The sequence below is a fragment of the Homo sapiens genome, chromosome 15 (genome assembly GCF_000001405.40).
Source record: "Homo sapiens chromosome 15, GRCh38.p14 Primary Assembly".
In the NCBI taxonomy this organism is placed as follows: domain Eukaryota; kingdom Metazoa; phylum Chordata; class Mammalia; order Primates; family Hominidae; genus Homo; species Homo sapiens.
The window spans coordinates 98,650,840-98,664,497 of NC_000015.10; the positions used below are offsets into that span (position 1 = coordinate 98,650,840).

The following is a 13,658-nucleotide window of genomic DNA, read 5'->3' on the forward strand; positions in this document are numbered from 1 at the left end:
TGTCTTTTGCAATCTGATAGCTTTTGTTTTGGTGGTGTCGGGTGGGGGTTAGTAGGGAAGCGCGGGGATGCGGGGAGCGAGAACTCCCCCCGGTGTCTACGGCCGGAGGAGGTGGGGGTTTTATTCTTCTGAAAAAGTTGAAAGTGTGGCTTACTGGTACATTCAAGATGGTAGGGTAATTTGAACACGATTAAAAGTTTAAATGTCGCAGAACTGGGACTGGGAACGGTGAGGGCGTGTTGGTGAGTAATGGTTGCCGAGGGTATGCAGGTGGTGCCGATTAACTTTGAAAAAATCACGACTGAGCCTTCACGAGTGAGGCGGGGAAGGAGGAGGCAGCGGAGGTTGTATGGCCCCATCACCGGGGCAATTCAGAAAGGCTGTTTCTATAAACAAATCCTTAAACGTCTGGTAAGAAATGAGTCCGCGACGGAACGAGAGCAGATCGTGGTTCGCGTGTTTACTGCCGAGTGGGACGCGGACTGGGGCCGGACCTTCCACAGATCTGGGCTCTCCTGCTCTTTGTTTTCTAAACTTTCAGCGGACTCGATTGGGCGAAAGCCTTCCGGCTCCCTTTACTAAGTCGTTTAGGTGGTGGCTGGGGGGACAAAGGAGGGTTTTTATCTTTAAAAGATAAGTACGGTTTAGAAGACACGGGAGAAATAATCCATTTTGTTATGTTATGCAGTTGAACTGTATAGCTTCTCTAGTTTTGTGTTTTTAATGTTCTGAAATTCAAAACAGCAGGGATGGCCTTCGCCGACGCAGGAGTCGGGCATTTTAAAATAGGCTGTTTTTCTTTTGGAGCGTTCTTCTTGAAGGATATTCTTTGTGCAAGACGGCGATTTTTGAGAACACAGGCAGGAGGGAGGGGGTGTTTTAATGTATGTTTTTACTCCATGATACCAAAGCTTCCCCCCAGGATCCCTTTACAGTGGTTAGTTCCTGGAAACCTGATGGGTGGTCAGAAGGCACCCCAAATCTCGATTATGGTTTGCTGAAGTCTTGACTGACTCAGTACCTGCCCCTCCCTCCATCTCTGAAATGTGGAGAATTAAAAGCTATGCCTGTGAACGGGCGTTCAGTTTTTAGCCGGGAAGGTGCTAGACCACTTAACTCTGATAGAAATAAGCTGCTGAGCCCTATCAGGGAGGGCGTTCTTTCAGCTGTTGTCTGGTGGAGAAATAAAGACAGGGTGTTGGTTCAGTTGCAGGTATTTTGCTGGCGTATTGAGAGATTAGAGTTTCCTCTTTGAGTGTGATGGCAGTAGAAAGAGTGTTGTTTATCTTAGAAAACTTAGTTTCTGAAGCAGAGGCAGTCATATGGATGTGTTTGTTTTGTATCACCATAATGTGAACAGAGCATCTAAATGAAGGCGGTTCGGAGGTTCTGAGTGATAGCCAGATAATCTGAGGGCTATTTTGTTTTTAAAAAGTCAGCATGCACTTTAAATTTATTGTACCCATCTCCTTAAAAGGATTCAGTCATCTTTCTACCCCAGGCATCCTGTTGTCACAGAAATGTAGGTATGTGAAATGTTGGTGTTTAAAGAAGTTAGTGTTTTATTACCAGAAGGAGAACCCAGAAAAAGAACTTCTGAAAGAACCTAAACAGCAAATTATAGTTTAGATCCTCTGGAGAGACATAGCAAGCAAATGGTGTTTTGTGGAAGGGTGGGGTTTGTGTCAGGATTTGAAATGTAAAAGGTCATAATGTTTGATTTGTCGAAAAAGATTAGAAAAGTTCAACTCTAAGAAATATGCTAAGGTTGAATAGATGAAGCTTAAAAATATCACAAAAAGTGAAAGAAGTCAGTCACAAAAGACCACATATCGTATGATCCGGTTTATGTGAAATGTCTAGAATAAACAAATCCATAGAGGCAGAAGGTAGATGAGTGGTTGCCAGGGGCTGGGGGCGGATGGAATGGGGAGTGACTGCTGGTGGGCACAGGGTTTCTTTTTGGGGTGATGAAAATTGTTCTAAAATTAGTTTGTGGCGATGGCTGCATAGCTCTAAATATACTTAAAACCATTGGATTATGTACTTTAAATCGGGGACTTTAATGGTATGTGAATTATATCTCAATAAACCCTTTTTTTTTTTTTTAAAGAAATGTGATCAGGTTGAAAATAACTTGTTATGCTACCTTAAATTACGTTAAAATTATTACATACATTTGACAGGCTGATGTCTCTCTCTCTTTTCATTTATGAGTTTTTCAGATCCGTGAGTTGCAGCAATACAACAAACTGATAATTGAAGCTTAGCAACAGGGATTCAATCCCGCAGTAGAAATGGGCAAGCAGGAGAAAAAGAATCTTGGTTCTATGTAGCTTCAGTTAGGGATTGAGGAGCTGGATTTAAAAAACACAAATGCTGGTGGAGGGCAGATTTTTGACAATAGAAACCTCAGCTGAATCTGAAATGATGGTTTTTTTCAGGATAGAGTTTAGGAGCTGAGTCTGAAGGGCTGTTTGTATTTCCAGTTTTATTATGTTTTCCAACAAAGAAAGACATTGCTGTTTTAAGATGTTTTAAACACTCATTTTTTGATATGCCACATTGACCACAAGTGGTAGTAAGGACTGAGGATGAACAGAACAGTTCATTTTAATGCAGTATTGTTGTTTCTTTTCTTTGCAGTTTTATTTTATTTCTTACATAGTTCCAGGGTCTGAGCAGGAGAAAGAATCTTTAGGATGCAGTAGTTTTAGGATACACTGTTTCAAGTATACAGTGATTTTTATAAAATTAAAATTCCTTACAGAACGAAAGGTTTTAAAATGTGGCAAAGGCATTTTTGTTTTGAAACTGTGTGCATTTATCCAGATTTACCCTGGCCTTTCAATAGGAAAAGACCTAGAGAATAATTGTTGTTTACATTTGCTTTTGGTCTTTGTCTAAGGCTTAGTTTACTAATAAAAATGTTTCCTGCCCTTCCTATTGTTGCAAGATCAGGGCAGTAATGAAAATCAACTGTATCATTTTCACTTGTTGCCTTAGAGTTTTTGCCAAGAGGAACCCTCAAGGGACGGTGGTTTCCTTTTAAATCTGGTTTCATTTGTTTTGTAAGAATGTGCTGTAAGAAGCAACTGAATCCAGCCTGCACTTATTGTGCACCTACTGTATGAAAGCTGACCTTGTGCTACTCAGTGCATGAACCTGCAGAGTCTTGCATGAAACCACCTTTCTTGAAATTCAGATTTTTTTTCAGACTCAGTATAGGGTGCAGTTTTCAAGTAGACAGTAGTTAGCATTTTAAAGGTTCTTTTAAAAATATTTCTGTAGACTTAGGACTCTAGTGTTGTTCATCAGAAGCCTTTACCCTATACCTTTTTTGCCTCATTGGTGCTTTCCGTTATATTGGGATGTCACTGTAGACTGTGACATACAGGTGATGTTAACCCATCTTGACTGGCGGCACTGTCTTCTTTATAACATTGGATATGGCAATTGTGATTTACAAACTGCAGTGTTGTAGTTGCCTTTTTCCAAAAATTAGGAGTCACAGGTGTGTACATGAACGTTGCATAGCATGTTTTGAGTTGTAAGAAAGATGGAACTTATTTCAGAAGTTTTCTGGATTACATATTGCTTAGTTAGCTTTCTAGAAATCAGGAAGCATTCATAATTTCAGGGCATTTTATAATTTGTAAATAACTTGGTGTTTTTAAAAGCGTGAGGGAGTAAGAGTGAGGAGACAAATCCTGAAAGTTTTTGTTTTTTAATTGTAAAGCATACAAGATACATTTCTTTATAGGTTGTGATTTTCCCCAATTTGTTTTCAAAACTCATTTAAAAATCAGACCTAGTTCATGGAAGAGGTATTTGCGCCTGTGGGCGAACTTGATTTGAACTGCTTTTCTTAGCCAGCTTAGGACAGGTGCTGAGTCCAGGGGATGAGCTCTTCTCAATTGTACTAAATATATAATAGTTGCACACATGTTACGGATATAGTTTCTTGATTTCCAGTCTGAGATGTTCTGAAGGAAAATTCTGAACACTTTAGAGACAACAAAGTGCCTAATGAGTGATGCACTCTGATCCCTCCTGGAAAATGGTGTTTGGCATCAGCTTAGCAAGAGGAGGTTTTCCAGTTATTTGTAAAGATGTGATGTGGCTTTAAGTGGGGATGGGGGAGGGTAGCAGCCCCAGTGTTTGTGGACATTGAGACCTGTTGACATTTGGGAAGCATAACTGAGTTCCACTATTTGAAAAGATTAAAACTTTGATATATGTACACATCCCCTCATGCCTGCACCCCCATCCCCGAGGGTCTGGAAAAGAATTGATTTGTTCTGAGGAAGGAACATATATTTGGAATATAAAATGGTTAGTAAACAAAGGATCTTTAAAACAAGTTAGATTGTTATCTCAAGAGAAGCATACTTCCTCGGCATGATGTTTTCTTTTGTTAAATTGCTTTGGTTTTATTTGACTCAAAGTATTAACAATACCTTTGATTTTGAGACTTTTGGACTTTTGAAGACTAAGTTTTTAAATGGTCAATTTTACTCGTTTGAAAGTCCCAGATACCATTTTTGAAGATTTCTCTCCCTTTTTTTCCACTGATGCCGGCTTTACTTATGTTTTATTTTCAAATCTTAAGGAAAAACTGATATTTCCTTACTTGAACTGAGAAATAGTCGTTTTCCCTCCCTCTTTTCTTCCACAGTAAATACATGTTGAGTACTTACTGGATGCAGTTCTTTAGGTTTAGAAATTATTTGATACTGTAAAATGTCTTACCATAAGTTTTTAAAGATACCCGTCAAACTATAGATGTTACTGCCATGTTTATTAAAAAAAAAAATAAAACGAAACAAACTAGTAAGCAAGCTTAAAATTTTTCTTTTTCCTGCCCTGGACTACAGATTTTTTTTTCTTTTTTTTTTTTGAGACAGGGTCTCTGGTCACCTAGGCTGGAATGCAGTGGTGTGATCACGGCTTGATTCTGCCTTGACCTCCCAGGCTCCAGTGATCCTCCCAAGTAGGTGGGACTACAGGCACACACCACCATGCCTGGCTAATTTTTTGTATTTTTAGTACAGACGAGGTTTTGCTATGTTGCTCAGGTTGGACTCAAGCGATCCACTCACCTCGGCCTCCCGGAGGGCTGGGATCACAGGTGCGAGCCACCGCCCCCAGCCTACAAGAATTTGTAAACTCATAGATTGCTCTTCTGTTTTCACTGGACCACAACAGAAAGTAGTTTCTTTTATGGTGAGGGATGAACACCTACGATTGCAATATAAGTTGTTGGGCCTTGTGTCCATGGAGCTCACTTGGTGGTTGGTGGTCTTGAAGCATTCACATTCTTTGGAGTAGTGGGGCGGCTGGCTAGTCACATGGGGAAGATGTGCACACCTGTGGATGGGGCCATCACACACTGCAGCGATAGCTGGGCCTACCTTACTGCTCACCTGGCTGGGCACAGCGGCTCCTGCCTGTAACCCCAGCACTTTGGGAGGCCAAGGTGGGCAGATCACTTGAGGTCAGAAGTTCAAGACCAGCCTGGCCAACATGGTGCACCCCCTTTCTACTAAAAATACCAGAATTAACCGGGCGTGGTGGCCCGTGCCTATAATCCCAGCTACGTGAGAGGCTGAGGCAGGAGAATTGCTGAAACCCAGGAGGCAGAGGTTGCAGTGAGCCAAGATGATGCCACTGCACTCCAGCCTGGGTGACAGAGCGAGACTCCATCACACACACAAAATACATATATAAAAATAAATTGCTCACCTGGTAATAGTCTGGAAAACATTTTTTTTTTGTTTTTTTGCATATTTTAAAGACTTTAGAAAGTAGTCTTGCTAATCCAGAAAGTTCTTGCGGGGAGGAGTTTGAAACTTTGTTTTATCTCACTCCTCAGTCTTAGCCCCCTTAATACCATAGGTCTCTACTTCAGTAAGAGTTACATAATACGAATGCCGTTTGTTCAGAATTGTGTATCTCCATCCATCCGTCCATCGTCCAAATTCTGCGAGTTTGAAATACATTGTTGTTGCTGTTTTGTATACTTTTGTTCAACCATTTTCTTTTTAACATGGCACTAGCTTTCTCAAACTGGCTTTGGAATTATTTGTCAGTTTAAAAATAAATACCACTTTAAAAATTACTCTTGACATGGGAGAACAAATATATTTTGATAGTTGTTAGAGCATAAATATTTTATAGAGCATAACTTGAAATTTTTCCTGATACATTGTGATTGCTTTCAGCTTGTCCTCTGCTGTAAAAAATATAGTCGTGGTTAGTCTCTGTAAAGTTGGTTATTGGGAATATGTGCTTGATTACGTAAATGAGACATCACCAATTTAAGTCAGCCAAAGTTTAGTCAATAGAACTTTAAAGAACAGAAGTCTAATGGTAATTAGGGAGAGATGAATTTATTTGTAGGAGTTTTCCCCAAATTCAAAGCGTCTTAGTGACCTTTGATAACTTCCTGGAAAAAGTAGGAAGCATGGAGAGAAATTCCAGGTAGGAGCCCATGATCCAATTGACTGCATCAGCTTACAAAGTGTTTTCTAAGTCATTAGCTATTAATTCTGTCTAGATTGTAAAATCCCTCTCAGTTGTGTCCACATTTATCTGTGTTGTCCTGTATTTATTCTCTTTACCTAATTTCCCTGAGTCTCATTTTAGTGGGATAATACACAAGCTTACAGACTCAGGACTTTAAAGAGAAGCACAGATTGCCACGAAAACAAATGAACACAGAGACCAGTAGCAGCAGAGGGAGATCTGCTGTGAGGCTTCCCTTAGTTCTGTTGTCTGATTTCTGTGGATAATGAGTTCACTGCATATGTTAGGTCACAACATGATATCGTGTAGTCGTAGGTACAGAACTTTTGTTATGGTAGCCTTTCTTCGTCAGGTGATACAATTGGGATTTTCTTTCTCACATGCACCTCAGTAAAATTTTCAGCAACAGAGATTGGCTCAGGATGGAATTTGTTCAGTTTCAGTTCTGCAGCCTGTCCTTTTCTGGGGAGACTCATTAATTGAATGTTGCCTTTCGATCTCACTGAGTCACTTGAAATCGCTCAGATTGACCCCTATTCCGGGATCCAGCCTGGTCCAGTGCAGACCTGCATTGACTCTGACTACATGCTGAGTTGGCCTCTGAACCAGTTCCTGTACCATTCCCTTAGTCTGATGGACTTGCCAGCTCCAAATACTCAGAACGTGCCTCTTGTGGTCCTAGGATCAAGTCCAGGGTCCTTAGAATCAAGTAATGAAACAGGTCCTTAGTAATCCTGTGCTGTAGGGATCCACTGTTAGTTCCTGGTACTCCCCAGCATCTGTGCATTAGCTTGATGGAAAGGAAGCTGTGTTATGCCTGTCTTCAAGTTTTTGCTTCTGCTGTTTCCATAGCTGAGAATGTTTTTCCTCTTCACTACTCTGCTACTTCTCCTTCCATCCTCAATACTGAATAGCAGAAAGTGCCGCTTAAGAACACAGGAAGGTCACCATAGCTTTAGTTTCTCCTTAGCTGCCAATTAGTTCTTTGGTCCTAAAGTTATTAACTTTTCTGAGTCTTGATAGAAATGCGGAGACTTAAAAATATTTGGGGGAGACATTTCTCCTTTTCTCACTAAACAACAGAATGAAAACCTTTTCTAACAGGTTTAGAAAACCAAAGTCAGAAAAATTGTGAGGAAATAGAATAGGTTTTTTAAATTGAAATAATTTCCAAGTTCCAGGTGGATCTGTAAAATAGGGACAAGATCATAACTTTCAAAAGGCAGCACGCTAAGTCAGGTGATTCCTTTCCCCCATATGCCTTTTCTGTGGTTTGAATAGGTCAGAGATGCCATCTTTACATTTCCAAGTCAAATTCCTCTTCCTTCTTGAAGGTTTTTGGGATTTCCCTAACTTGTATAGATCTACTTTCCCATTACTCCTTTTGAGTTCATAACCCACGGTTTTGCTGGTTGACAGTGATTTGTCTTGTTCCTTGCTTGTAATTTTATTAGGACCATGGAGCCAAAGTGGCTGGTTTGAATCTCAGCTCTTCAGTAGCTAAGCTCTCAGGCAAATAATTTAATCTTCTTGTGCCTCAGTTTCCTCATCTGTGAAATTATAATTTTAATAGAATCTACTTTAAACATTCATAGAAATCAAATTCGTACACATGTCAAGTGCCTAGAATAGAACCTGGCACCTGGTATTAAGCCCTTGGACTTCAACTGCTACTGTTCTTAGGGTTGTGACATCCTCGAACAGAGATGTTCTTTGGATAGAAATATAAGGCTTACTTGATGTTTGATTGTCCTTGCCATTTAAATATGTTATAGAACCTGGCACATAGGTGCTCAATAAATGTATAATAAAACTTTATTTTGCTAAGGTGTTTATTAACAAGATGGCATGTTGCTTATTAAACAGTTGTGATTTTTTTTTTCAGTAAACGATGGTCATCCCCCTGCAGTTTGCCTTCCATTTCAGAGATCTGTTTATTACACTTTCTCCCTTAATATTGTCATTTGTCAATTTCTGCTCACACCTGAGAGGTGTCCAGTGTGCACTTTGCCCATCTCGCCTATGCATAGGCTCCATCTAGTGGCCAGAAGGGAAATTCAGCATATTAGGTGACTGAATTAATAGTGCCCCAAGGAGGAAGATAGCGATCCCAACCCACTCTCTGGCTTGCTTCCTGGGGACTGATTGCAAGAAAATGTGGATACTACAGACTTCTGTAGAAATCACTGGGCTACAGTTTTGGATTAAGGTTACTCTACTGTGTCAGTGCGAGCTGTCCTGAGAGAATTAGGGTCTTCCTAAGTGATGCAGACAGGCGCACTGCAACTCCATGGCAGAGCTGTTAACACCTAGTGTGTCTTTTACAGTTAGAGTTTTAAGATAATTTTACAGGACTTTAATAAATTTAAAGCTCCAAAATATTTGAGATTAGAGATTAAAAAAACACTACTGATTTCATTTGGAAAAATACAGCAAGATTTACCTTCCATTGCTCTATTTAAACAGGTAGTAACACTTTCATTCTCTTCTCTCTCCCCTTTGGCTATTCTATGTGGTTAAGATGCTCGCCAGCCAGAAATACTCACAGAGAATAAGAATAAATACATCCAGTGTTGTGTTAGGTCCCACACCGTCTATATTTCGCTAGCTAATTTTATGTATTTTGTTTCATGTTTTATTGATATTTTCAGAATCTTTCTTGCTGAGATTACACAAAATATATAGCTGGTTATTCAGTTTTACGTGTCAAAAGCCTTAAACCTGTTTCCCCATGATTGCCTTTTATTATTTTTAATTCGGAAATCTTTGTTTGGCTGTCTGAGAGAGAACTTCAGCCTCCCTTCCTCCCAGACATTTTGAACAGTTCAGGCTGTACTCATTCGTGTCTCTTTGTCTTGGCAGGTGGAAGCCCCTCTGCTTGGAATAGCAAACAATACTACCAGCTTGCCCTCTGGCAAGCTCCTTTAAGAGTTAGCTGTAATTTCACCCTCTCTCTGGCCTTGATTCTGCATGCAGAATGATTGCACTGACTTGAGCTCCTGTGGTCTCTTGCTATACCTCCTATTTGGGCATCTCCCCCATATTGCTTTCCCCCACCATTGGGGAGGGGAATGGTACCTTGGTTATCTTTGAATTCCCAGGAGGTGGCCCAGTGCCTGGTGCATAGGAGGAGCTGAAGAAACGGAAGACTTCTTAAAGGGATACTCGCCATTCACTTTGAAGCACTTCTTTGTACAACAAATTTATTTTCATCTGATCATTGCACCTCTGCTAGCCAAAACATTTTATCACACCAGTTACTGCTGCATGGAACTTGAAAGCAATAAAATTATCTTTAAAATCATTGTTTGATTAGGCTTTTTGCACATTGAGGTGAATAAAAAAAATTAGAACTCCTGGAAGGGTAATTTGTGAGTCTGGCCTTGTGTCAAGATCACCTCATCCCTGTGGATGGAGACTTTGTTCCATAAGTTCCCTATAGATAAGATGTAATGAATAATTCATTGGCACCGATTTATGTCTGTAGTGTGCTTTTAAACCCTCTTGGAGCTGGGTTCCTGAGGAGGAAGCATCTGCAGGCTGGACTCGGCTGCCTGGTGGTCTCCGGAGTGGCCTGGTGCAGAGGGCCAGGGTGGCATCTCAGAAAGTTGGGTGGGTAGGGTACTTGCACACCTGCTGACCTTGAGTTACAGGGTGGACCTAGGTCATTTCACAGGCCCTTCCAGCCTTCAGATCTCAAGATACTAGGCAGAGAGAGAGATGGAGATTTGAGGGAGATGTGGTTGGAACAAGCAGAATCACCACGTATGGAAGTTGGCTTCTATTTTTTGCATTGTTTTCTTGGTGAGGCCAGTAAGCTTTTGCCTCACTCCTGGGAGGGACAGTAGCAAGGTCTTACAGGTCTCTCTATCATTGAAGCACCCTCTCCAACCCTGCCGGTTTTGGTTGCTGGTGAAGGCCTTTGACAGTGTCCTGGTAGGGCGACGGTGAGGCCAGCTCCCGACCTCTGGACAGAAGAAAGCTTACTTGTCTAGGTTGGTGTCAAGGGGACTCCTGAACTTAATGAACACCTTAGAAATTATCCTTAAAGTCTCCTCTTCCGAGGAGTGGGGTGGGATATTTCTTGCAGAAAATGTAAACATAATCATTTGAAGCTGGAATGTTAATATTCAAGAGTAGCTTGTAAAAAAGCATCTTGTGAAATTCTCATGTGAATGCTGAACCGGCTGGATGTGAACTTAGCTGGACAGCCTGGCCTGTCTTTGCTCTGCTCTTCTCCGTGCGGTTTGCATATGTGCAGGGCTTCCTTTGAAGCCTTGTCCCCTCAAACAATTCACTGTCTCCCTCTCTCCCACGCATGGAGGCATGTTGGAAAGGGAGCTCCAGGCCTCAGTGTCTCTGCCTGTGATTGGAATAACACTGCTCTAGCAGGGATGCCAATGAGAATTAGCAATAGATAATGTATCCAAGCTGCCCAGCAAACCTGGCAAATAGAAAGCATCCAATAAATGGATGCTTTTCTCTTTTTTTCTCCTCCTCATGGTGGGTGGCCCTGGTGGGCTCTCTCTGGGGCCTCCAGTCCTCCTTCCCCACAACACTGGGGAATTGCTGCCAGTTGAATAGGGCCCTTTTTTTTTTTTTTTTTTTTTTTTTTGAGACAGTCTTGCTCTGTTGCCCAGGCTGGAGTGCAGTGGTGCAATCTCCGCTCACTGCAACCTCTGCCTTACTGCAACCTCTTCCTCCCAGGTTCAAACAATTCTTGTGGATCAGCTTCCCAAGAAGCTGGGATTACAGGCGTGTGCCACCACGCCTGGCTAATTTTTTTTTTTTCTAGTAGAGACGGGGTTTAGGCATGTTGGTCAGGCTGGTCTCAAACTCCTGGCCTCAAGCAATCCACCGACCTCGGCCTCCCATAGTGCTGGGATTACAGATGTGAGCCACTGTGGCTGGCCAAGGAGGGTCTTTTTTTGCACATCTACAGTGAAAGGTTTGAACCCGGACGTCTGAGTCTCAGGTCAGTTGTTGAAACCACTAAGTAACCACCTTGCTTCTCTGTGCCTGAAGAGAATGGGTTTTTAGGTTAACCAGGCTGACTGGTTCAAGGTCATGTCCCTATCTGTGGAAGGGGAGTGGGAGTGGAAGGTGAGTGGTGACAGAGTATGGAACCCTGTTTCTGATATCTAGATTATTTGAGGGCCTCCAGTGGTCTCTGCTCCATGGAAAGCATATGAAAGAATATGATTTTTTTTTTTTACTCGAGCTTGTTGTCTAGTTGGGAAAACTCAACTACTGGTGGAGAGTAACAGATGCTATGAGTTTAGTGCTAAGTTATGGGATGCTGACCGGAGAGAAGTATGTGGGCTGCAGGCAGTGGGGTCACGGAACTGCAGAATGGCTTGAGAAGCTTTAAGGAGGATGTCTGACTTTAGTGTGCCCTAAATATTTGACTCTCAAGATCCAAGGAGGCAGCTCCCCAGGAGAGGAAGGGACCATGTGTGGTGTGGGTGGCAGTGTGCACTGATGGAGTGGAGAGGGTGTCAGAATCCGGTGTTTGTGTGGTGGGAAGGAATTGACTGCTGGCTAGAGAATGAGGAGCGCTGAAACCTTTGCACCATTGCAGTGGACCCGCTGAGAAGGGTGTTCTGGGGAGGCTGCTCTGGTCTCTCGATGGAGTCAGGATTGGGGGACAGATAGACACCCCGGTGTGAGCCAGTGATGGTATAGATGAGGGAGGCAGTGAGGACAGGCTCAGGGAGGGAAGTCTTGTCTCTAGACCTGAGACCAGGAAGCAGGAATGGACTGGACAGGTTGGCCCAGCTGAGGGAGGTGACTGGTGAGATGGGTCCTCGGTGTGAGGGGCTGGGTTGCCAGAGGAGCTGTGGGCTGGGGTGGTTTGTCGAGAGAGCAGTCCCAGTTGATGGAGAGGCAGGACCCGCAAAACAGGTTGGCTGCAGGACTGGGGGCGGTAGCACAGGGCAGCTCCCGAGGAGACACCTGGCACTTTTAAGGCATGGAATGGAGAGAGCTAGGGGAGAGCACACCTGCAGTGAGGCAATTCACATAGCAAAGTTCTCCGGAAACTGCAGTGTTCAACTTTTTTAAAGAATAGCTGGATGTTAGAAAAGTGGAGGAACTGTCACCTTTATTAGGGGCATCATGGATACCTGGTAGCATCAAGGGCTAGGGTTAAAACCCGTGGAGTAATACGCCCTCCTATTGTGTTCCTCTCCTCTAAAAATGAAGGTGAAACTGTTTCAGGTGAGCGCTGTTGTTGTTCGTTTGCTGGGGCACTGCTTTCTGATTTTTAGAGGAGTCCAGGCTGGAGACTGACCCCTGCCTTTTTCTGAGTTGGGCCGGCTGGGCCCGAGGCTGGTTCTGGGCTGGGCCAGGCTGATGCAGTGGCCTTGGGCTTCCCGAGGCTGGGAGAGGGCGGTGGCCCCCGCTACCCTGAAGAGCTGGCCAACGCGGCAGGGCTCTTTCCAGTCCTTACCATGCAAGTGAAGAGGAACAGTTTGTTTAAAGAGGGGTGCCAGCTTCACATCCAGGCCTGGACTTTGCTACTGGTGCTTTTGAACTTGTGTTGATTTATGTTTGTAAATTGACTGGACACATTGTGGTTCTTGATGAGAAGCAATTGCCCATCCTTAGCCCACGATTAGTGCCACTCTCTGGGTGCTGCCTGTTCTGCCACTGTAACTGTTTTCACTTGACAAATAACATTAAAAAACACAGTTCTGCAAGAGACTTCCTGGGAGGGTGGTATCATTTGGCCTGTGGGCTTTTGTAACACTTTCCTGCTATTAGGAGAGTGAATTCTGAATTTTCAATCACGTTCACCTGTTGGAGCAAGTAGAGTTTCAGACGGTCTCCGCTTTTCTCGACTAGAAAGCAGGCCTTCTCCCTTTTCCCCCCAGTCTTGTTTCATGACACCATTCCCCTCTGAGATGAGGGTTGGAGAATTAGAAGTCTACTGATGCATTGTACCGGGGCACGTTATTGACCCTCTCTGCTCTCCTTTCCTCATCTGTAAAATGGAAGATAATGCCACCCATCAGGCCGAGTGCGGTGGCTCATGCCTGTAATCCCAGCACTTTGGGAGGCCGAGGTGAGCGGATCACCTGAAATCAGGAGTTCGAGACCAGCCTGGCTAACATGGTGAAACCCTGTCT

The 13,658-nt window shown here is 43.0% G+C and overlaps 1 protein-coding gene across 5 annotated transcripts in view, besides 3 other annotated features; it reads left to right on the forward strand.

Moving 5' to 3' along the window:
- The window catches only part of IGF1R (insulin like growth factor 1 receptor), a 315,992-nt gene that overhangs the window by 2,301 nt on the left and 300,033 nt on the right, over nucleotides 1-13,658 (forward strand). The window contains exon 1 of one of the 5 annotated variants that reach the window (XM_047432445.1): nucleotides 2-111. The exons of the other annotated variants lie outside the window; for them this stretch is intronic. The gene's annotated coding sequence lies outside the window, so the exon portion shown is untranslated. Of the gene's footprint in view, nucleotide 1; nucleotides 112-13,658 lie in introns of those variants that run through there. 5 annotated transcript variants of the gene reach the window in all.
- Nucleotides 8,321-8,615: a silencer, noted in NCBI's record as "tiled region #7544; HepG2 Repressive non-DNase unmatched - State 8:EnhW, and K562 Repressive DNase unmatched - State 12:CtcfO". NCBI's record gives its function as "represses a minimal TATA promoter and a strong SV40 promoter by Sharpr-MPRA in HepG2 and K562 cells {active_cell/tissue: HepG2 | K562}" and the evidence as "EXISTENCE:reporter gene assay evidence [ECO:0000049][PMID:27701403]".
- Nucleotides 10,434-11,244: an enhancer, noted in NCBI's record as "H3K27ac-H3K4me1 hESC enhancer chr15:99204502-99205312 (GRCh37/hg19 assembly coordinates)". NCBI's record gives its function as "activates a minimal SCP1, AML or CMV promoter by ChIP-STARR-seq in naive H9 embryonic stem cells {active_cell/tissue: H9 hESC(naive)}" and the evidence as "EXISTENCE:reporter gene assay evidence [ECO:0000049][PMID:30033119]".
- Nucleotides 12,321-12,615: a silencer, noted in NCBI's record as "tiled region #1749; HepG2 Repressive non-DNase unmatched - State 2:TssF". NCBI's record gives its function as "represses a minimal TATA promoter and a strong SV40 promoter by Sharpr-MPRA in HepG2 cells {active_cell/tissue: HepG2}" and the evidence as "EXISTENCE:reporter gene assay evidence [ECO:0000049][PMID:27701403]".